The sequence below is a fragment of the Homo sapiens genome, chromosome 8, assembly GCF_000001405.40.
Source record: "Homo sapiens chromosome 8, GRCh38.p14 Primary Assembly".
Classification (NCBI taxonomy): Eukaryota; Metazoa; Chordata; class Mammalia; order Primates; family Hominidae; genus Homo; species Homo sapiens.
The window spans coordinates 91,329,502-91,354,166 of NC_000008.11; the positions used below are offsets into that span (position 1 = coordinate 91,329,502).

General features: G+C 35.2%; 1 protein-coding gene across 4 annotated transcripts in view; it reads left to right on the forward strand.

Moving 5' to 3' along the window:
* Positions 1–24,665, forward strand: part of SLC26A7 (solute carrier family 26 member 7) — a 188,660-nt gene that overhangs the window by 120,006 nt on the left and 43,989 nt on the right. For 3 of the 4 annotated variants that reach the window (NM_001282356.2, NM_052832.4, NM_134266.2), the window contains 6 exons: positions 4,794–4,946; positions 8,649–8,731; positions 10,903–11,050; positions 13,852–13,965; positions 22,309–22,386; positions 23,400–23,495. In NM_001282356.2, coding sequence (NP_001269285.1) covers positions 4,794–4,946; positions 8,649–8,731; positions 10,903–11,050; positions 13,852–13,965; positions 22,309–22,386; positions 23,400–23,495 — 672 coding nt within the window. The remainder of the gene's footprint in view (positions 1–4,793; positions 4,947–8,648; positions 8,732–10,902; positions 11,051–13,851; positions 13,966–22,308; positions 22,387–23,399; positions 23,496–24,665) is intronic. The other variant, NM_001282357.2, reaches the window with a different exon arrangement.

Here is a 24,665-nt window from a genome sequence, read left to right on the forward strand (position 1 = left end):
AAAACCCTGGGGGGTTTTCTCATTCCATTCATTCTGGGGTGGTCATTTTTATTACTGCAAACACATGTTCTCAAAATGCACACTACAGCAAATTTGGTATGGCTTGGAAGTTTTGCATATTTCTACTCTTTCTTATACAGACATTGTCATGGCATACTTTTAATACCACATAAAACAGCAGAAAAGATATTCTCTAAATGCTTTAAAATACTTGGATATTTGTCTTCTTCCTGACAGATCATCTAAATAATATTCTCAATTTTATCCTGAGATCATGAAAAATCATCAGAAAGCATTTGGACAATTTGTTATTTTACATCGTCTCTATCCCCTTTCCCTGTAGAATATTTCTCACTGAGTAGCATTTTGGATTTTTATCCTGGGATTGATTGAGTAGTGGGCAACTTTAAGCAATGAACCCTGTTCCTTCTAGAGAAATCCTGTGAACAGTTATCATCCACAACATAGAGACAGAGAGGAAAAATGTCATCTGCATCTAAGATAATGATGACATTGTAGTACCTACTTTTCTTTTGAAGTAGCATGGAATAAAATAGAATTATGTGAAAAAGATAAAAAGCAAAGCTACCTGACCCCTAATACGTTTATTAATGTATCTGATTACATAACTAGTGGGTTCTTTTGTTATTGTCATTTTAACTGTATGGATAAAAGGGGGTCTGGATAGCCTGCGTTATGCTAATTCTTTTCACCCAGTGAGGCTCCACTTAATTGAGTACATTTTCTTTGCTCAAAAGATTTAACATGTTAATGATAAAATTCAATATGCAGAATTCAGGCTCAACCTGATGCACTGCCTTTATACCAGGTGCATTTGATCCTTGGGCCAGATGGGCTGAGTCCTTTGATGAGGAAACCTACTAAGCAGAATTTTATGATATTCTAAGAAATATAGTCCATATAAATTCTTTTGATCCATTGTCTATATAATGTTTTGACTCAATATTTTGAGTTGTGGTCAAATTATATTTAAGATGCTAAATAGAAAGGACAAAGAACACAAAAAGTTAGGCTACTATAAGAATAGCCTGTGTGCCAGAATAAAACTAATCTTTATCACCTGAAACTAGACTTGAGCAATCCGCTGTGGACAAATAGAAATGAGGTTATAAAAACTGGATTCAGCATGTTCAAGAGAAGGAGAAGTTAAGAGACATTTTGGAAATAATCATATAAGGACAATTCAAAACCCTAAAGTTATCAAAGTGATATATTTTCATAAGAGAAAACATGGAAGATACAAATAAGCTCTTATGCAGAGCTGTTAACATTCCAGATACATTCATACATATATAGAAGCATGAAATTTTATTTCATCAAAAGTAATATCTAAATTAGCTTTCTAGGGCTTTCAAAACAAATATCACAGACTGGGTGGTTTAAACAACAGAACTTTATTTCTTACAGTCCTGGAGACTGTAATCAAGAAGTCTAGATCAAGGTGATGGCAGTTTTGGTCTCTTCTTAAAGCCTCTCTCCTTGGCTTGCAGATGGTGGCCTTCTCCTTGTGTCCTGACATGGTATTTCTCCTGTACAAGGTGCATGTCTGTGTTCTAATCTCTTCTCAGTCATTTTGGATTAGGGCCCACCCATATGATCTCATTTTACCTTAATCACCTCTTTAAAGGCCCTGTCTCCAGTATAGTCACATTCTGAGGCACTGGGGGTTAGGACTTCAACATATGAACTCAGAGGGGGCCACACAACTGAGCCCATAACAATGTCAAACCATATGCATTTATCTGAAACTTTTCTTTTCCGACTTAGCATTATAACAGGAAGGTCTTTCCATGTCAATAAATGTACATTTTGTCTAAAATAATGAATTTAATGGATGTAGACTACTATATGTATACATGTAACCTAGAGAATTCAACCAGTTCTCTTTTATTTTACTCTTTAAATGGATTCCATTTTCAATGCTGTTTTAAACAATGTTTCAGTGAATATCTTTGTAACAAGGTCTTTTCACACGAGCTTAATTATGTTCCTAGCTTAATGTTTTGAAGTAGAATTGCTAAGGCAAACAATAGAGCAGTTCAAAAGTGTTTATTTTTCAGCTTTATTGAGATATAATTGCCACATAAAAATTGTATATATTCAAAATGTACAATGTGATGTTTTGATATATATATACACATTGTGAAATGATTTCCAAACTCAAGCTAATTAACATATCTATTGCCTTCAAAGGTTTTCCATACATTTTATCAGATCACCAAAGTATTGCAACAATTTATACTCACAAGGGCATGTAAAAGAGTTCCCATTACTTCCCCCAGATTAGACTATTTAAATTATTATTTAAGCATCACTAATAATTTGATAAAAGAAAGAATGCTTTCTTATAGTTTGAATTTACATCTCTTTGATTAATAGTGTAATTGAGCTCTTTGTTCATATGTTTATTGACCATTTGTATTTCTTCTGTTATCTGTTTATGTCCTCTGCTAATTTTAAAATATTTATTTTCTATGACTTCAGGTTTTATATTTAACCTCTTTTGATCTAGAATTTATTTTGTTCTGCTTAGTTTTTGTTCAAACATGATATATTGGATAATCTTTAATATTGGATAATGCAACTGTTATATTTCTGGGTTCTTACTGTTTTAAATTTTTCATATATATATATATACACACACATATATATATAATATGTTTTTAAGTTAGAGACCCTACCTCTTTCTATATATATTCAATATATATTTAATTAATATTTAATTATATATTAAATTTATAATTATATATAGTTATAAATTATAAATGTATAATTATATAGATAAATTATATAATTATATAATTTATATATTATATATAATATATATAAATTTATAATTATATATAAAATTATATAATAATTTAAAAATATATTATATTTAATTATTCAATATATATTTAATCAATATATATTTAATTAATATATATTGAATATATAAATTAAATATATATTCTGTATATATATTTAATACACACACACACACACACACACACACACACACACACACACACATATTTAAGCTAGAGACAGGATCTCTTTCTGTTGCCCAGGCTGGAGTGTAGTGGTGCAATCATAGCTCACTGTAACCTAGAACTCCTGGGCTTAAGGGATTCCCCACCGCCAGCAGTCTCTTGAGTAGCTAGGACTGCAGGTGCATGCCACCATACCCAGCTAATTTTTTAAATTTTTCATAGGGAAAGAGTCTTGCTGTATTGCCCAGGCTGGTTTCAAACTGCTGGCTTCAAGCGATCCTTCTGCCTCAGCTTCCCACAGTTCTGGGTGGTGAGCCACCACACCCAGCTTTTTCTTATATATTTTATTATTAGTAACATGTTTTGACTTATTATAAATATACTTTTATGTTTGTTAGTATAAACCCATATTTTCTTTCAACATTTTCTAATATATTCTGTGCATTTAATATTCTGTATGAATTTGAGAACCACTATGTTAAATTTCCAGACAACAAAATTCCAGGTGAGTTTCCTTATATCAAACATTCATGTAGAGGATGGATTGCATTTGGCTGGTTATTATATTTCAGCACCTAATTTAGGGTTCTTTAAAATCTCACCCTATCTTTTTTGTGCTAGTCGATTTAGATGCTTACATAACTATCAACAACATTCTAAGTTGTTGAACAAAGTGTTATTGGCACTTAACTGAAACATAGCCTTTGATTTTAAAAAGGGCTTTAATGTTGTTCTTTTGGTTGACTTTACTCTTACATTGATCCTACCTTTTCTGCCACATCAGATTATCCCAAATTACCAAGATTGAGTGTTTGATATTAATGTATTATACTTTCTTCCTAGTTTCAGGCAAATTCTTTGAGGTAAGTATAACTTCAAGCAGGGCTGCACACTTTTAAAGACAAATAGTTGTATTGATTTCTTGACCATACTTTTCAGGAAGTCATGCACCCCTCCCCTCACATTTTATGCTGTAAGTTTTACAAATATGCCCTTTAGGCAGAACATTTTCCCAGGTTTCTTCATTTACCCCCTCTATCATCTATAACCTGGCCAGTTCCCATTTATCTTCTTTGAGAAGGACCCACCCCACCACCACTCAAAACCCTAAGTCATATACTTCAGGTGCCCTTTCCATGTCCATAGCACTGCTTGCATTAATGTATTGTTTTACTTAGCAATTCCTACACTAGACCATGAGCTCTGTGAATACTGAGCAACGTCTCAATTTTTTACTATGTAGACCTCGCAATGGGCATGGTGCTTGGTATAAAGTAAGTGACAATAAACAAGTAAGTTAATGCTGAATGACTGAGAACATGTTAATATTTTATATGAAGCCAAATATCTGATGTCAGTTAAATGCCAGCTCTTAACTCTTTTGTGTGTGTTCTATCTGTGTTCTTGTTTGCTTCTGGGGTTTGAGGAGGGCCCCAAAGTTGGGGAACCCATGGTCCCCTGACCGCTGTTAATGATGAATCTGCATATAAATAATGAGTTAAGCATCTCTGCCCCTCAGAGTGTCAGGGATGAAGCCAGAAGAGTCATTCTCTTTAGCAGTGTTCTTATGTAGGAAGGTGCAAAACCTGAGTTTGATGAAAGAATCAAGGGTACAGAAATTTTGTAGATGTAAATAAATACATAGCATTAGCACTGACTACCCGCCTACCTATATCTTTCCTCTCCCTAGCCATTAAGATAGTTTTATAAAACATCATTGAGTTTATTGGGGCCATATTTTCATGTTGGTATATTATAGGTGACCCTGAATTTTGTTTGTATTTTTTCTCATTACTGTAGATTTATGCATATGTTTTTGAAAACATCAAGTCTGTGCGACTGGAAGCATTGCTTTTATCCTTGCTGAGCATTGTGGTCCTTGTTCTTGTTAAAGAGCTGAATGAACAGTTTAAAAGGAAAATTAAAGTTGTTCTTCCTGTAGATTTAGTTTTGGTAAGTATAAAATCAACATTTAGCTTTTTGCCATGCAAAGCTTTCCAGTTCTTGGGGAGATCTGCAGATGCTTACTATATTGTCTGTAGTAACCCTCAGCTACTCCTGTCTCTCATTAAAGCAGGGCTAATTTGCATGGCTACACATTAATGTAAGAACAGGAAACATTTTGAGTTAATAATTTAAAAAAGAAGGCACACATGTTTTCAATTTATAAAACATTTCTCATATGCTTATAATTGTTTATATAAATAAGAGAACATATAGCTTAAGATCTTAAATAAGGAGGTACTTATAAGGGTGAGGCTCAAAATGTCTCTGGCATGATCTTCTGTAAATTAATAAAATATGGTATCATTTCCTATTTATATGGCACCTATAAGATATGTATAGAAATATTATCAATTGATAAATGTTCATTCATGATTGAAAGGTTTTGTTACTTACCTAATTTTGCTTCATTGAAAGGATGCTCATGATTTTCATTGGCCAAAGTTGGTTCTCTAAAATATTTTTTTGTTGTACCTGGAAAAGCAATACATTACATTTTGCTCCTAAGGCTTGTGGCATTAGAAAATATGTTTTGAAATTTCAAGAACCTCTAATAGGAACTCTTAACTATACAAAGCATTAAGTTGAAAATAAAATCTTAACATATAACCACAGTCTACTAATTTACTAAAAATTGGCTTTAGTCTTTCAATGATCTTTGAGTTATACATGTATATGATAAATGTTGTCTAAATAACTTCATCTAATAAAATATTCCTTCTAATTGTTGAAATTATGTAGGTTTATGTACAATTATAAGGCTAGCACATTGCAATTGACTATTAAGGCTACGACTCATTTCTATACAACTAATAAGAAAGGCTTCTCTCCATAACTAGGCCATGTATGATCCTATACTCTTGATAATTTGAGATTTATATAACATATGTGATTTATATAATATGTATGTGTGTATATTTCAAATAAGCCATAAAAATACAGAGTACTATGATTATTAGTTTTCACAGCAACAACTGTGAAACATACCATCTTATCTTGAAGTCCTGTAGATATTAAGAAATACTTATTATATCTTGGGAAGCTATATCGCATGTTTCATAAAACTAAAAATTGAAAATAGCCTTAGGGATGAAGGCTGTTGAGCTGGTAGTAAACCAGTTGCTTATTCTCTGCAAAACCAGTTACGATTATTCTTACAATAAGATTAAAGGTATTCTTTATACGTGTTATCCCTAACATTTCTAAGACCCAAGGAAAAAGTACCAATGCAAGCCCAAATACTTACAAGTTATAGATCAAAATGTTAAATATAACAGATTCTGTTTTCTTATGTTGACAAACATCCCTTAGTGATGACTTTAAAAGCCGGGTTAGAACAGAGAATTTTCCTAGTCGTTTATGTTCTGCCAGTATGTGGCAGCGTGGGGAGACCCAGCCTCTTGCTCTGCTCCCTCTCTTCACTTTCCAGCTCTATCCCACCTGCCAGGGGATTCATATGTGTATGTGTGGACACCTCCGTCCTCACTTCCAGGCTCCAAACACATCGCCACTCCATCACCACTACGACTGTCTCTTTGCCAACTTTCTTGAGCCACCCTGGGAGGATGGACTTCCAGAAGGTGCCCTGCAAGCAGGCAGAAGGACATTTGGGCAGGAAATGTTAGATTCTTAAGTATCCAGAGTGTGGTTCAGAAAGAAGGGTACAGGTTTGAGTTGGGCACAAACCCCCTACTCCCACAGAGCTCCCTTCTTGTGGGGAAGTCTACAGTTGGAAGAAGCCAGATTAGAACCCTCTGAAGCAGGGGTCCTCAATCTCTGGGCCATGGACTGGTACCAGTTCATGGTCTGTTAGGAACCTGGCCACACAGCAGAAGGTGAGCATTATTGCCTGAGCTCTGCCTCCTGTCAGATCAGTGGCAGCATTAGATTCTCATAGGAACACGAACCCTGTTGTGAACTTCACACGTGAGAAATCTAGGTTGCGTGCTTCTTATGATAATCTAGTGCCTGATAGACTGAGGTGGAACAGCTTCATCATCCCCAAACCATCTCCCCCCTCCTCCCCCAACCCTGTTCGTGAAAAAATTGTCTTCCACAAAGCTGATCCCCGGTGCCAAAAAGGTTGGGGACTGCTGCTCTAAAGCACTAGTCACACCTGGGGTGCAATCCCCCCCTTGCCCAGGTCTAAGGGCAGTATTGGCCTTATACACGCATATTGAATTAATATTGAAGAAGGACCAATTACTCAACTGATAAGGAAAGTTTAATTTTGGTAAAGAAATACAGGGAGGAGGTAAAACACTGAAAGGCTAATTCAGTGAGTTAGAGCACTTAATTTTAATATTAACTGTGTATCAAATACCCTGCATACTTCCATTTTCAATAAGAATCCAGTATCTAGTAGCTATGGCATATTTTCTTTATAGCTCTCAATATTTTCTGACCTAGTATAGATGTTTCATGATGATTATGAACAATTATAATTTATTAATTGGCGTAGGAATTTTTAAGTATGTTAATATGTCTGATTCTAACTTAATAGCCTGAATCTTTAGCTACTACTAGTTTCTTTAGAAAATGCTACTATCGTATTACAATATTTATAAATTTTAACAATATCACCTTTATGGTTTTTGTTCCTTTTTATCTTTTTCTTTAAGTCTTCAGGTGTTTTGCTTTTTAAGCCTATTTGATGTTTTATAAAACCTCTGCAAATTCAGCTAAATATCATCACAGAGAAGAGAACAACAGGAATAGGGGAAAAAAACCTATACAATTATATTATTGGCCATTGATTATTAGATATTCCTTATTTTGCTAGTTTGAATTTGTTATCCTTTTTTTCTGGCCATGTATATTGTAAATTTGTACTTTAAGTGGATAATTGATGTGCCTCTTTTACAAGATGAATTACTCCAAACTGATACCATAATCATGTGAAATTTTTAATATCTATTAAAATTATCAGAAAAATGAAAATCGATGGAAAACAGTAGAATGCAGTGGCTGGTGAACTGGGCTCTGATATGTATGTTAAAGATGATTATGGGTATAGGCAGGGAACATGTAACCTTGCTTAGCATATGTCAGTAACAGAAGGATAGGGTATCTGAAACTCCATAGGGGTCATTTTAAAAGCATTGAGCCCAGCAGGCTGTGAAGCAGCATGTTTCACTACAAGAAATAGTAAAAGCTAAAAATTTGAAAATATTCAAGGAGACTGTAAATCATCATTGATTACTAACATGGATTAGGAATATCGATGCAATATCTCAAACTCTTGAAAGGCTGCTGTCATGGAGAGAAAATGTGCTGTCTTACGAAGCATCCCTTTGTATCATGGGAGGCAAGTATTTAGGTTGGATTGTGCTGTCTTCATGCACACACACACTCCTGTATCCTGTAGTTTTTCCTCTTCAAAATTGGACATAATTGGGTTGACCACGGTAGGATATTAGAAAAGCCATATGATTGGGATGTCATCTAATTTGGAGACTTGTCAGTGCTCTCAAAACTGAGGGACTTTTTGACTTTTAATATTTTATTTATTTTTGAAAGTCTGTGCAACTGCTAGATTATTCTTGATGTTTATGGGACATGAGAACAATGTTTACTTTTAAAAATTGTTTTAAGGTGTTTGAGAGGTCAGTAATGTATATATTTTTTCTTTTTTCAAATGGAACCACACAGATTATTGCTGCATCATTTGCTTGTTATTGCACCAATATGGAAAACACATATGGATTAGAAGTAGTTGGTCATATTCCACAAGGGTAATGTAGTCCTTTTTAAAAACATATTATTTGTTTGTTTGTTTATTTTTGATGGAGAAAGGGACAGGGAGTGAGTGGGTATGGATATTTCATTTCTTAATTCTAATTAATTTCTATTACAAAATGATAGAAATACACACTTCATGTGTAGAGAAAGAGTAACTTCCTAGACTTCACCTCTTACTAAGGATGTTGATAATTGCTTTATGCAGCATTGCTTCAGGTAAAAGGTTTGGGAAATATTTGCAAATATATTATTAACAAAATAGAGGGCATTGACTTTGCAAATGAGAGTTATGATCTGGGATTTAGTCAGCCCTATCTCTTCCCCACCACACATATTCTATGACTATTTTCATTTCACTTAAATCATAGTAAAAGTAGACAAGCATAATCTGAAATAGCAAACCCTAGGCCTGGGTAGTATATAATAATGAGAGAGTGGAAGTGGAGAAGAAGGCATTGTTCCCTAGCTGGCCTATAGCCTTCCTCTGGCCACTAAGAAGGAGTTTAACAAAAGAGATGTTCACCCTAAAATGAGCAAAAGTTCGTACCACATATGGGCTGAAAGAAAATAAAAATATATGAGGGAAGGAGGACAGTGTCTTATGGGTTATTCACTTTGAATGGGCTGCATTACATGTACACTGATAATTGTAAATTTGGGGCAAAGTTACAATTGTTGAATCCTATAAATTTTTATCTTCCAATCCCAAATTTTTGTTTCTAATTACATGAAAATGGAGAAACAGTAGAAAAATTCTCAGGAATTAAAAAGGGAATGTTAAAAATCCTATCTTTAGCACATATAGATATAGGCTAATGCTGATTATATGAATCAAATTGAATTTTCTCAAAGATTCCTGCTTTTCTACCTTTGAAAGTCAGCTTATTATTCCTTTTATGCCAATTTGTTGTTATTAGTAATTAGGTTCACTCAGTCTTCATGAAACAAAGTTCTTTTACTTTGAAATGGTTTTGTGTAGCATAATAACCTGTAATGATACAAATCAATTTGTCTTAATGGTAAACTTAAGGAGGTGGGTTAAAAAAAAAAGTCACGCCACTCCTCTATCACCTCTAATTCTCCTTTATTTTGAGTGACCTTTCCAGACCCATCCGCTAAAGGAATTATAACAAGAACATGGCTTTGAACAGAAGTGGAGCTGAGATTGCATTCCAGCTCTGCCATTCACCTTGTGATGTTAAATAAATTACCTAACCTTTCTCAAAATGTTTTCTCCTCTATACAGTGGGTATAATGATGCTTGGTTTGGAGGTTGTTGGGAGAATTAAATAAAATAGCTATTATGAAAGGGCCAAGCATTCTACTTACATACTGGGTTTTAAAAATCAACATGAATTCTCTTCCTGTTTTCTTCTACTGCCTGAGGGATTTATTTATTTATTTATTTATTTATTTATTTATTTAATTTATTTTTTGGGTAAGTCTCCCAAAGAATCATCAGGGATGAATAAATAATGACACTTTGGCTCAAGTTGTTTTCAAAAGACAATTAGACAAGGGCTGGGTATTATTTGAGAGAAATATTTTGAACAGTTCTTTGAAATGGAAAAACAACTATGGTCCTATATTTTGAAGCAGAGGGTTAGTTAGATGGAGCCTTTATACATATTTTTCTTAATGGATGTAAGGCACAGTTAAGTGTACTGTGAAAGGATTGAGTTAAAAACATAATTAAGATAACGAACTCAATGGCAAATTTAGGGATGAACTCAAGAATTGTAGCTCACAGTAAACCAGTGTTTGCATACAGCACTGTAGTATTCAAAGGAGGAAATGTAGTCTTCAACACCAGCCAAATAAATATTTGGAAAGGTTCGAATGAAAGAATGCTCCAGATTTGCTTTTGTTCTGATACAGGAAATTTCTGTCGAGTCAGAGTTTCTGTGGTGTAATCTGAATTCTCTGGGCGTAAATGCCAGTTAAATGCATGGAGCTGTCCCTGTGGTGTTCCTTGTAATTTTGCTATTCTGCTAAATAATGTTGAAAACGAAGGGCTTCTAAGGGCAAGGCTGCTTGGTTTTCTCATGGGTATTTCACTTAGTCTATGTAAACTTCAGAGTCATTGCCACAGTTAAATTCATTGCAAGTTGTTACAGAAATTACATGAAGTTTGATGACTTCAATATGGTCCTTCTTTCCACAGAATTCCCTCACCTAGAGCTCCCCCGATGAACATCCTCTCTGCGGTGATCACTGAAGCTTTCGGAGTGGCACTTGTAGGCTATGTGGCCTCACTGGCTCTTGCTCAAGGATCTGCCAAAAAATTCAAATATTCAATTGATGACAACCAGGTGGAGTGTGCCCCCAGTCCCTCTCCACTCCAGTTGTATCATTGCACTGTGCACTCCCAGATCCTAAAAATGATGAACTTATGAAAAATAAAACTTTCCTAACTGTACAGCAAGAGTGGGTTGAACAAAAAAAAAGAAAAATATCAAAATCATTCATAGGAAGCTAAAAACCTGACATTGATTGTTCACAATGCTTTTTATTTTGGTTAAAATAGAAGGCATCATGATGTTCTTTTTGATTTGTTTTTAGGAGAGAATCCAAACAGATTTATTATTGCATGCTAATGTTTAATAATTATGGATTTCTAAGTACAAATAACATTAGTATTACTCTTAGTAAAAAAACTAAAGAATGTGAGCGTCTATTCTTAGAATACCAAGGGATGTAGATTATACTGATCATATTTCTGAAAATACTTTTGCATATGTCCTGTTTCTTTTTTTTTTTTTATACTTTTAAGTTTTAGGGTACATGTGCACATTGTGCAGGTTAGTTACATATGTATACATGTGCCATGCTGGTGCGCTACACCCACTAACTCGTCATCTAGCGTTAGGTATATCTCCCAATGCTATCCCTCCCTCCTCCCCCCACCCCACAACAGTCCCCAGAGTGTGATATTCCGCTTCCTGTGTCCATGTGATCTCATTGTTCAATTCCCACCTATGAGTGAGAATATGCGGTGTTTGGTTTTTTGTTCTTGCGATAGTTTACTGAGAATGATGATTTCCAATTTCATCCATGTCCCTACAAAGGACATGAACTCATCATTTTTTATGGCTGCATAGTATTCCATGGTGTATATGTGCCACATTTTCTTGATCCAGTCTATCACGATTGCATATGTCCTGTTTCAAGTCCTGTCATGGTCCTACAGAGCTGTGCTGGTCTGCAGAGAAGTTGCAGTGCCGTGGTTTACGAATATCGAACTACCTGTGTGTAAATCTCATTCTCACACTATGTGACCTTAATCTTCTCTGTGCACCAATTTTCTCATCTTCACAAAAGTAGATTTATTCATTCCACAGATATATGTTGAACCCTAATACATAGCAGGCACTGGTCTAGGTACAAGTGATAAAATGGTGAGCAATGCAGACCATGTCTTTCTTTTACTCGAAACTTCCCAGTTGCTTCTGGTCACACTCAGAGTAAGAGCCTCTCTCATGGCTTATAAGGCTCTACATAACCTGCTAATACCCTTTTCCTCTTTGGTCTCATACCCTTTTATACTCTGTGCTAACACCACCACCTTGCTTCTTCTTGAACCCATTAGTCATGCTTCTGGCTATGGATATTTGCACTTGCTGTTCCCCTTTCTGGGAATTCTGTTCTCTCCAATACCTGCTTAGCTCCTCCATTTATTTGTTTATTTATTTTAATTTTTGTTTTCTAGAGACAAACCTCACTCTGTTGGCCAGGCTGGAGTGAGTGGCATGATCATGGCTCACTGCGGCCTCAACCTCCTGGGCTCAAATCATCCTCCCGCCTTAGCCTCCCCAGTAGCTGAGACTTCAGGCATGCACCACCATGCCTGGCTACTTTTTTTTTTCATTTTTTAAACATGGGGGTCTTGCTGTGTTGCTCAGGCTGGTCTCAAACTCCCGGCTTCAAGAGATCCCCCGCCTCTGCCTCCCAAAGTGCTGGGATTGCAGGCATGAGCCACCGTGCTCAGCCAGCTTCTTTATCAAATGCTCCTTTCTCAGGGAGGCCTTCTTTGGTAATCTAAAATCTTAAACTCAAGATTTGCCCATGCTTTCCTCTGTTTTGCTTTCTGTATTTATCTTGTTTATTGCCAGCATTTGCTTTCCACCACCACAGCTCTATGGGGCAGGGATATTTGTTGTGCTTACTAGAAACAGCAGATGCAAAAATACTGTTAAGGGGAATTTGCAATAATCCAAGTGATATTTGATGACTTGGACCATGATGTAGTGATGGATGAGATGGAAGTATATGGATTCTGGATTGGATATGGGTGCCATTCGGGAAAAGAAGGAGCAGAAAAATCAAGAATAACCCTAAAGCTTTCAATCTAAGCAATTGGAACTTCAAATAGGGAAGAACATGGGAGAACCAGGTTGGGTGGTAGAAAGCTGTAGCCCAATTTAGGAAGTTGGAGATATCTGTTAGCCATCCAGAGGGAGATACTGAGTAGCAGATTGGGTATACAGTCTGACATTCAGAAGAATGGTCCAAGTTGTAGATAAAAATTTTAGAGTTGTCAATGTGTATTTGAGTAGCTTATATGTAGATAGAGAAGAGAAGCAGTCCTCCAATATTTGCAATTGGTTAGATGGGAAAGAACCACAAAAGGCATTAAAATGTGATGGCCAGGGAGGTAGGAGGAAATCAGGGACATCCTAGAAGCCAAGTGAAGGAGACTTTAGGGAGGAAGAAATGAGCAACTATGCCAAATGCCTCTTTTAGGCAAGGGAAGCCAAAAATGAATCATTGGTTTAGCATTGTGAAGGTCATTTGTGCAGTGATGAGAAGAAAAACCTGACTGATGTGACCTAAAGATGGAGGAGAAATTGATGACAGAGAGCATTAAAAAAAAATAGTATTTCCCTATAAGGTTGTTCTGAGGATTAAATGAGTAAAGTGCTTGAGAACAATTTCTTGCTCATTGTAAGCACCCAATAAATGTTAGCTATTTGTATTGTAATTGTTAAATCCCAACTGGTGGGGAGAACAAAATCTGAATACAAACAAGCCTCATTATGTGACAAATTGTACCTGTGGTCTCTAAAAGTCTATTGTGATTAAGATATTATATATTCTCTCATGAATCTTGCAGGAATTTTTGGCCCATGGCCTCAGCAATATAGTTTCTTCATTTTTCTTCTGCATACCAAGTGCTGCTGCCATGGGAAGGACGGCTGGCCTGTACAGCACAGGAGCGAAGACACAGGTAACTGAATTGTTCCACAGGGACAAAGCACTGCTGGGCCTTCACTCCCATTCTAGGAGAGTGGGAAGAGCTAGCTTCTCTTTAAAGCCCTGAAACTATTTTCACTTATTTAATTTTTTTTCTAAGTTGTTTTAAGAAAGTCCTTCTCTCTCTCATCTCTATCCCATAAATGACACTTACGAAAGCTAAGGATTCAACAAGGAAACTAAAAAATTCTGTACAAATTGAAGCTTTATGGTTAGCAACCTTAGAGGCCAAAGCTCCCTCTAGTGGTGCCTCTCTCTTTCTTTCTAATCTAAATGGTCAACATGACGTTTTCCCATTTTTGTTAACTTCCTTTAAATATATAAAATCGATTATATGAAAAAGAAATCAATCTTTGACACTGAAAGTTCTATCTATAGATATGTACAAGTATATAAATGAATAATAAGATATCTGCACATATTTTAAGTTAAACAATTATATTTTTTAGGAACTCAAATCAATTTGACATCTATTGAGGGCCTGTGATATACCAGGCATTCTGCTGGGTACTGGTAAGATGATGATGATGATGACGATGTTGATGATGACAATCATAATGATGAAGATGTTGCTATTGATGATGATGGTGGTAGTGGTGGAAAAGATATTGAGTTGTGTGCCAGGCATTGGCTGTCATACTTTTGTTATAAATGAACTTGTTTAATCCTATGAAAAACTAAACCTTTGATGATCTAGGCAACCTTAAGAAGGAGGTGTAATTATTATCCTCAGTTTCTACATGAGAAAGTTGAGGGAAAGAAGGTTAAAGTAACTTACCCAGGTCATAGAGGTAGTAAATGGCAGAGCCGGGATTGGAACCCAGATAGATTTACTTCAAAACTTGGATACACAAGAAAAATCATGTGTATCTTAGTATAAAAAATTAACATTAACAGCAAACCATTATTCAAACAATTTATGTTTAAGATAGGAATCAAATGAGAACTTTTAAAACACTATTTGGGCTAACTCAAACATTCATTGGGAGTCTTCCTTATTAAATACTATTTTAGGTTGTAGAATAATTAAGTTTGAAAAGTATGTGTTTGTTGACCTTGTGGGAAAGTGATCAACAGATCTTAAAATTTAACATAAAACTAGCTAATCAAGTTCATATCAATGTATCATAGAGTACATGAAAGGAAGCAGTAACCAATTCTGAATCTATTGTAATTTGACAAATAATTGCCACAGCTCATCAGCTAAGAAGTAAAATCCTCCTCCGACCTTGGTTTATATGACACAAGTAATCTGACAGATTTTTACACAGCTTTGATTTTCAAGTGTAGGGTCATCTTCTGTAGTGGCGTAAACATTTTTGCAAACTGTACTCTCAAATCTTTGTGATCTAAATTTGAAGGTTTAATATGCAGTGAACTTTAATATTATTCCCTACTCTGATGACTCTTCTATCTGTAAAATCCTAGGATCCTATAGCAGTTTTTTTTTTCTTTTTTTCTTTTTTTTTTGGCAGAGTCTTGCTCTGTTGCTCAGGCTGGAGTGCAGTGGCACCACTATAGCTCACTGTAGCCTCAAACTTGTGGTCTGAAGTATCCTTTCACCTCAGTATCCAGAGTAGCTGGAATAACAGGCGTGCACCACCACACCTTGCTATTTTTTTTTTTTCAAATTTTAGTACAGATAATGGTCTTGCTTTGTTGACCAGGCTTATTTTGAACTCCTGGCTTTGAGAAATCCTCCAACCTCTGACTCCCAGTGTTGGGATTACAGGTATGAGCTATTGTGCCAGCTGGATTCTATAGTACTTTCTTCCTGGTTTCTTACCAGAGTGAATGTATTAGGTTTCTCTCTTCATTGTCAGGCTCAATAAACATAGTGAGTGGTTCAGCGTTGGGCTCCAGAGCCTGGGCTTGTACCCTGGCTTCACCACTAGTGAAGTGACTTTGCACAAGTAACTTGACCTCTCTGGCATAAGTAGACTTGCCTATTAAAGTAGAATTATTACAACAACTAAAGGAGTTAATAATGCTTATTTAGCACAATGCTTGAGCACTAAATGTCCTTAAAATGTTAAAAATGATCATTGATTTTATTATTACTATTGTTATTTAGAAAATAATTAAATATGTTTAGAACCTTATTTTAACATTTAATATTAAAACATCCTGGTATGGTCAAGATGCAATGAGACAGTTTTCTAGTCCAAGATGCCCACTGTGCGGCAGGATCTTGAGCAAGTTAACATACTCACTTATCACATGGGCAGAAAAGGTTGAAATAGTATCTTCGAAGTGTTTCCAGTTTCAATGTGTTCCATAACTGGGGTTTCCTTAGGCATTTCCCTGCTTTTCTAATTGCTATTTTCGTAATAATCAGTCTATCTGATTCATCTTTGTAACCTTTAATATCGAGTGTCTGAAAGATAATAATTTGAGAAAGATTATACTTATTTTAAATTTGGGATTTTTTTTCACTTGAGTTGGGTGTACAGATGTTTGATTAATATGGTTGGGATAAAGCAGCGCCCCTTCTCTTCTCTGTTCTGGAGGCCACACATTTGAATGGCTAGAACAACAGAACGTTTCTAAGGACTTTTTATTTAATAGGAATTTTTTTTCTGCATGGTATTCTATTCATCAGCCTCCAAAAGAAATGAAAGAAATCTGTCAAAATGCTATTCCAGGAAAACAAAGCTCAGTGGCAGAATATTTTCATGCTCCTCTGCTTGTTGAGATGGTCACTAATCTTTTCAACAACTTCCATTAAATTGCACAGGGAAAGAATCTAATTTAATGTGCATACTCAAATTGAGGATGCTTTCCCATGGTAGTCATTTCAGACCTTTAACATTGCAAGTGTTAAGTTTATGTGGGTAAAACTGATAACTGACATGGTTCCGAGGAAGCACTATGTAAGCCAAGCCTTAAAAGTTTTGTTCTAAATAGGCTATTTGTGAAAGCAACTTTCTATGTGACATGACTTCACAAAACAACCCCTTAAATGGCTCTGATTCTCTTAGGTACTAAATTTATATCCCATAAATTGATGTAGATGATAAACAATCTTCATTTTTTAGGCTAATGACAACCAATCAAAGGATCAGTGATAATCATCTTACACTTGTTAATGAATTTACCAACTGACTTTTATTCAGAAACATTTCTGGTATTTCTGCAGAAATGGTATTTCTGTGGAAAGTTATCTTTACAAAATGCAAATGTGGTCATGTTATTTTTGCTTAAAGTCCTTAAAAGGCTTTGCGTGGGTCTTAGAATTCAGACATTTCTGCTGTCTACCAGGCGCTGAGTGCGTCCTGGCACAGCCTCCTCTTGGCCTGTTCTCCACCTCATTCTCAGACCTAGTCCTTCTCCAGCCCTTGTGGGTTCCAGTGTCTGTTCCCTTTGTCTTTGAGGCTGCCTTTCCCTTCCTCTCTATGTGAATTCCTCCCATCCTTCGTATCTCACTGCCACTTCTGGGTCTGTCATGTTCCTCTTTGTCAGCGTCCTTAGTGCTATTTGACATTAAATGTTCATTATTGTGATTATATGATTGATGTTACCCTTCTATCCTTGACTTAAAGCTACTGGAGAACACAAAACCTTGTCTGGTTTGGTTCAGTGTATCCTCAGTGGCTAGCCCAGGACCTGGCATGTGGTAGGTGTTAGGTAACTACTACAGAAAAGAATGAATGAGAAATGAGAGCTTCCAATAACTATAAAAGAAAACTACCAGTTTTGCTGACATTAGAAGAGACTGGTCAGGCTGGACAGTTCTTTTTAATTACTGCTTAATGTTGCACATTTACAGAAAATCCCATTTAAAACCAGGCTTAGGATCATGCACTTCAGAGAAGCACTATTGAACAGAAACATAATATGAGCTACACAGATAATTTAAATTTTCCAGTAGCCACATTTTTAGAAGTAGAAGAAATTGATAATTTTAATTTTATATTTTAATTTCCCTAATGGAGTCAAAATATTATCATTTTAATGTTAATATTTCAAAGTTAATAATTTAAAAGTTATTAATGATATTTTAACATTATTTTCTTCTTGGTACAAGGCTTCAAAATCTGGTATTTTAGATTTCAGCATACCTTAATATGAACTAGCCAAATTTCAAGTCCTCAAGAGCCATATGAGGCTGTTTTGACAGTGAATTTGGGACAATTTTATATAGAAGTGAGTTGATGGTAAAGACTTTCAGTGCTTTAGAAAATGAAACCAAATGTTTGGATTGGAACAACAAGAGTTACTGATCATTTAACACCAAGTGCCATGGTCATCAGACTCATTTCTATCTTCCATATGAAGAAACCCTTTTTACAGTGACCCCCTTTAGATGTGACACCCAAAGCATGCATATCTAAGAAAGGTCTTTAGGGGAATAAGAAATTTGTGGCACAGCTTAGACAAATAGCACAAAAAAATTACATTTCTTCCTTTTCTCCTTCCCTGTAAAGAACGGTAAGTATGGGAGGGAGCTCAGTGTCCCCTGGCTTTCTTCCTTGCATGCTTCTCTTCACTTCCAACAGAGGAGATCCGCTGGTGCTCTGCAGGGAGCTCGGGAGGTATACCCAGGAGGGATGAGAGACTGTGTCTGCTGCACAGGCAGCTCAGCCACAACTGAAAACAACAGCTGGCATGTTTTTCTGCAACACTGAGATTGTCTCCGCATTCTAATTTGCCAAACTGTATTCCTTTATTCTTTTGAAATTTGGCTAATTGCTTTCATCTCCTTTAAAACCTTCTTAATCTAGCTTTAGTTATCTAATGTCATCTCTCTCTTTTTTTCTTTCTGCCCTTTCCCATCTCTTTTGCCATTTCACTACTTTCCACAAGACTGCACATGCAGTGAGTTCGAGAACTACTTATGCCTTCTTTGACAACTGCTTAGGAAGTAAATGGCTGGTTTCTCCCTCTACTCCCAACGAAATATCTAGGTATGGATAATAAAAATGCATGTATGGTCATCTTTGTAACTAACATAGAGCATATAAAATAATTGTTTGAGAACATAACAAGAATAAAATATAGATTATTTCATTATCTTTTATGCAGAATTAACTCTTAAATATCAGTAGTTATGATTTTGAAGCAAAAATATATTTGGTCATTTAGTTAGTATGATGTGGAAAGAAGGAGTTAAAGAGTAAAATCCTAGCCAGTGTTTGCCCAGTGGGTAATTGTGTGAACACTTTAATAAGTGCAATAGAAGCCAACCTGAAACTTATTAAGAAGGAGCTAGTTTTGTTTTTTTTTTCCTGAGATTAAAAAAGGAACAAGCTCATCTCTTTTGTTCTGGTTTTAACTTGTTTTTCAAATTTTTCTCAAGGTAGGTCAGAGAAAGGCAAGAAAATATTACCTCATATGCAAAGTAAAATATACGAAGAAAGTAGATGATATTTGAAATATAGCTTAAGTGGGTTATTATAGAATCCTGAAATTAGAGAATTCTATTTTATACACTGCAAATATTTGATCTTAATTTGAGCTCTTTTTGAATTTACTGAGTTGGCCAGTTAGGGAATGATGGCTTTCACTGCATAATCTCAAAGATTTTTTACGAATCCAAATTTCAGTGTCCTGGCTTCTTCTTTATGAAGAGAATGAATACCAGTATTTTGAGAGCTTTGAGGGCAGACACTATAATATTAATTTCCATGACTGGGGAGTATATACACTGGACAGAGCTTAAGAGTTTCTTGTCTGATTAGATGAACTTATCTTTTGACCAAGGGCATCAACAATGATAAGGCAAGTGCGTCAAGGGAGCTAACATAACCCATTTGCTTATGGTCTATTTCATTACATGACTTACCATTTAAGGTAAACAAATAGTCTTTTTCACCCACAGTTTGTCACCCTTTACCAAATAAGATCCATTTAACTCTTGACTTATTTTTACTACAAGACTGAAATTGTAATTCAATTGTTGTTAATGAACATACAAAGCACCATGTAAATAAAAGATAAATTAAATATTATTTAGAGAAAAGCCCAAATGTAGTTGTGATTTACTGTTTTTAAATAGAATTATTTAGTTAGGTTGTAATTTCTATAACAGCTTTAGTGTACTATAATAAATTTGGGAACCTTAAAATATATTTGGCGTTTTTGGATCCCAATTCAGTACATATTTTATATTACCTTCGTGCTTTCTAATTCCCTAGCTCTATGACCTTGGCATAGTCACTTTGCCTCTCTGTGTCTCAGATCCTTCCAAGTAATTGCAACTGCATGTGTACAAAGTTCATTCCAGCTCCTAAGATTTAGGGTTTTGGTTTCAGGTACATTGTAAAGATATGAGTGAAGAGTCCCACAAAAAGGGTACATGCCATTGTCTTTTGTCTTAAAATAAACCTTAGCTGTTGGTATTTTTTTCTTTTCATGTAAACATGGAATTACTGAATCACTGACTGAGCTCTCTGACTGGATCCTGTGAGCTGCACTCTGACACCTACCTCGTTGCAGTATAGTAGAATGTCAGGCATCATATTTTATTGTTTAAAAATTCTTATGTAAAATCACCAATTGCTCCTAAATGATCAGGATAGTGACAATTTGGTGTACTATAACTTTTTTTATGGGCAATCATTAGTTCCCCTACTGATTTAATTCCCAAGTAAGAATTGTTTTTCCCCTTTGTATGCTGACGAGTGTTTGTGATGAGTTACACAAACTATGGAAGGGAGAACAGACTCCCTCAGCCTCTGCCAACAGGGAAAGGCCTTGAATGACTGCTTGCTTAGCAGAATAATTATAGCTACTGCCACTCCACTCTCCTTCTTCCCATATACACACACCTTTTAATAGTACCAGGTTAGGACAAGTGTTGTGGGTGTGGACATATGCATGTAAGCAATTGTTAGAGATCTCTTCCCAGGTTTCTTTTTTTTTTTAAATTAAAAGTAAGGTTTATGGAGGTATAATTTAGATATAGTAAAATTTATTCTTTTAAGGTATACGGTTCACTTTTTTTGAAAAAAAAATTGTTGTATAACAAGTAAAATCAAGATATAGAATATTTCTATCACCCTAAAAAGTTTTCTCATACTCTTTTGTAGTCAATTCTTTGCCTCCACCTCCAGCCTCTAGCATCCTATAATTTATCTTTTTTTCAGAAAGTCATATATATGAAATCTTATAGTATGTAGCCTTTTGTGTTTAGGTTCTTTCATTAGTTTAATGATTTTGAATTTCATCCATTTTTTTAAATTGCTGAGTTGTATTTTAATGTATGGATGTACCACACTTTATTCACCAATTAGTTGATATTTTAGTTATTTATGATTTTGGCATTTATGAATAAAGGTTCTACAAATATATATTTAGGTTTCACGTGGACATATGTTTCATTTCTCTTAGCCAGTCCTGAGTCATAAGGTAAGTGTATGTGTAACTTTATAAGACACTGCCAAACTGTTTCAGAGTAGCTGTACCATATTGTATTCCCACCAGCAATGCCTGAGAATTCCAGTTGTGCTGAGTTTTTGCCAGCCTTTGATATTGATTGTTTGTTTATATATTTATTTTTAATTTAAGCCATTCTACTAGGTCCAAATTCCCTTTGATATCTCCATAATGATGTTCTAGGCATCTCCATGGCCTGTGAAAGCCTTCTTTTCTCTTGTTAGGAAGGCAGTTTGGCCAAATGTTTTATTAGGTCCTGAACATTTGCTTCTGTGAAATCAAGTTCTCCATCAAGTGGAACATGACTATAGGAGTCAGGTGAATTGAACTGCCTTTTGTCAGCAGGCTGGTTGGTTAGAACATGATACTAATGGCTTTTCAGGTTTAGTAAAATTAAGTCTGTTCCACAGCCAGAGATCACTCCCATATCCCATATAACTACTCCACAACTTGAGCCTTTACTAACAAAGAAATCCAAAGAACAAGGTAAATGCTTCAGTGGAAATTATCAGCACAGAAAAATCCTAAGCCACATATTCAGTTATTGCTCAAACAACCTCCTACAAAATAAGGAGGGGAGTCAGGCTAAACAACAACAGGCTAAAGAAATTTTAATTGAAATGTCACTTTCACTATTAAACAAAAAAGCCATCACTGTGATTGTGATAAAAGTTGATGGTGTCCTGTTTCTTTGTGTGAAATTGCTTTTCTCTCATCACTGACTTAATTTGATTGCACCAGTTTGTCAGCTGTCACATTTGGCTTCCCTCAGTTGCAAAATATAGATAATGACAGTCTAAGCAATTTAACAGTTATGTGTCAACATTTTACTTCTTCTAATCAAGATAAACTAAGAATTATCCCCCCCACCCCATAACTTTGACATAATAAAAAAGTTCAAGGCTTTCTTTTTCCTTTTTGTCTGTCTTGTATTTTACAGGTGGCTTGTCTAATATCTTGCATTTTCGTCCTTATAGTCATCTATGCAATAGGACCTTTGCTTTACTGGCTGCCCATGGTACGGTAGTGCTTTTTCACTATCTACTTTTTAATTTAACTTTTCATGAGAATCATTGCATATAAAATTTCTTGGAAGTATAACCTCAACAATCCTAAATGTAGAAACCATGTTACAGAAGTAAAGTTTGAATGGGGGAGGTGTGGAAAGCTACCACATTTGAGGCAGGCGTGGGAGGGGGTACCGTGGCTGTTTTTTTTTACGTTTTTGGCTCTCACATAAGAATGGTATTGTGGAACTAGATTCATTCTGTGCTCATCTGGAGAGTGGAACTAGGCATATTCTGTTATAAGAAGTATAAATTTTACTAAAACTTTGACTGTTAGAAAAACATATGTGCTGGGGCAAGGAAATAGGAAACAAAATACAGCTTCCTGCTGTTGATATATCTGTTACACAAAGTGATTCAGAACATTAGTGCCAGTGCTTCACCTTCTTCTTCATAAGCCTGAGGCACTAAAGGAATGCAAAACACTGGGCTTATGAGAGCCAGTCTCCATCCTTTGTTATTCTAATTTTTCATGTGTGTAGTGAGAATAAACCATTTCCATGGTAGGATCTTCCAATAATCAAGTTCGCTTTTCAAGAGAGTTATAAATATCTTCAGGTGAAATCAGATAATTGACATTTAAGGCAATTATAAGAAAATATATGATATACATATTTAATTTCATGCAACAAATACTTTTCAAACAAATGACCGTGAATACGTTTAGTTAAGAGGGCATTTAGCTTCATGATGTTCACCCTTACCATTTACTTATTTTCTTTTTGCTCTTGTTGTTTAGAATTGTACAAATATTACCTTATGAATTCTAGAATATATATTATATTCCTAAAGTGCAATAATAGGTTAGTTTTAAACAAAATAAATATTGCTTTTGTCTTCTAATCGGTGATTGCTTTTCTCTATTAAGTACTTTAAAAACAAAAAAATAAAAATACCTTAGCCCTTTTAAATTTAAGTTAAAATTTTTATGTTGCTTCTTCTTCAACTTACGTTTTATTTCTAGTGTGTCCTTGCAAGCATTATTGTTGTGGGACTGAAGGGAATGCTAATACAGTTCCGAGATTTAAAAAAATATTGGAATGTGGATAAAATCGATTGGGTAAGTAGAAATTTGACCTAAAACAATCCCTTTTTAGCTTAAGCTTATGTTACCAAATATGCACTAATACTTTTATTTGCAGAAAATAGATATTGTCATTTGAGACTTGTACACTTTACAAACTACCATTTTTTTTCCAAAATCTTAATAAAAGCATTAAAATATAAATTGTCTTCATATGAAACAGAAATAAGAGTTTGGTCAAATTTTGATGAATGTATAGTTTGAGAACTTTTAAAGAAATGCTAATAATTTCAGTGGATTTGGGATGCCCAATTTACAATATGAATTAATTTTGGAAGTAAGACTTACCAGGGAAATAGACACTAATAGAAATATGGCAATTTATAACCTTTATGAAAAACTATCATGAATCACTAAGAATGCACGCTGCGCGCATATAGGGTGAACCTCTTAATGGTGACCACTGTCATTCTAAATACAAAAGGTCTCATGAATTGCCTTTTAAATGGGTTACATTAAGAGGACCATGCTTGAAACAGATTAAAATATATTGAACCATGATAAAGTGTGATTTCTACGAACATAAATAGCACACTGATTCTAGAGAAACCTATCTATGCAAGAGCAATCCAGAATTCTCTCCCTCTCCAATATGGGAGAAGTACTTCATGAGTACCCTCTGTTTAGCTCTATTATGACAGTCACCATATTGGAATATAATTATTAATATGAAATACATATTTTCTCTTCTTCAGATCATTTTCTCTGAGAGGTTTTGGGATATTATTTATGCTGGTGCCTACTTTTGTAATATTCCTCCTGGGGCTCAATATTACTGAGCTCCCACCAAAGTATAATGCTGGGCACCATGAGGAATGTGCAGATGAAAAAAGAACTATCCAGTCTCTCTAGACAGTTATTTGTGGAGGCAGTGGACATAGAAACACTAAATTATCATGCAAGACAGGATACAACATGACCTGGAAGGAAAAGTAAGAGCTTAGTTTTGGGGAAAATAGAGGCAGAAGCATTTAATTTGGACTGATTAACATGAAAGACTCTCACAGAAGAGCTGAAATATGAACTGAGACTTGAAGGAACAGTATTTTGTAGGCAGAACAAAAGGCCAAAATTAACCATGACCTTTTAAAGGTGATACATGTTAGGTGGCTCATGAAAACAAAGAAATGAGAAGATGCAAACTTA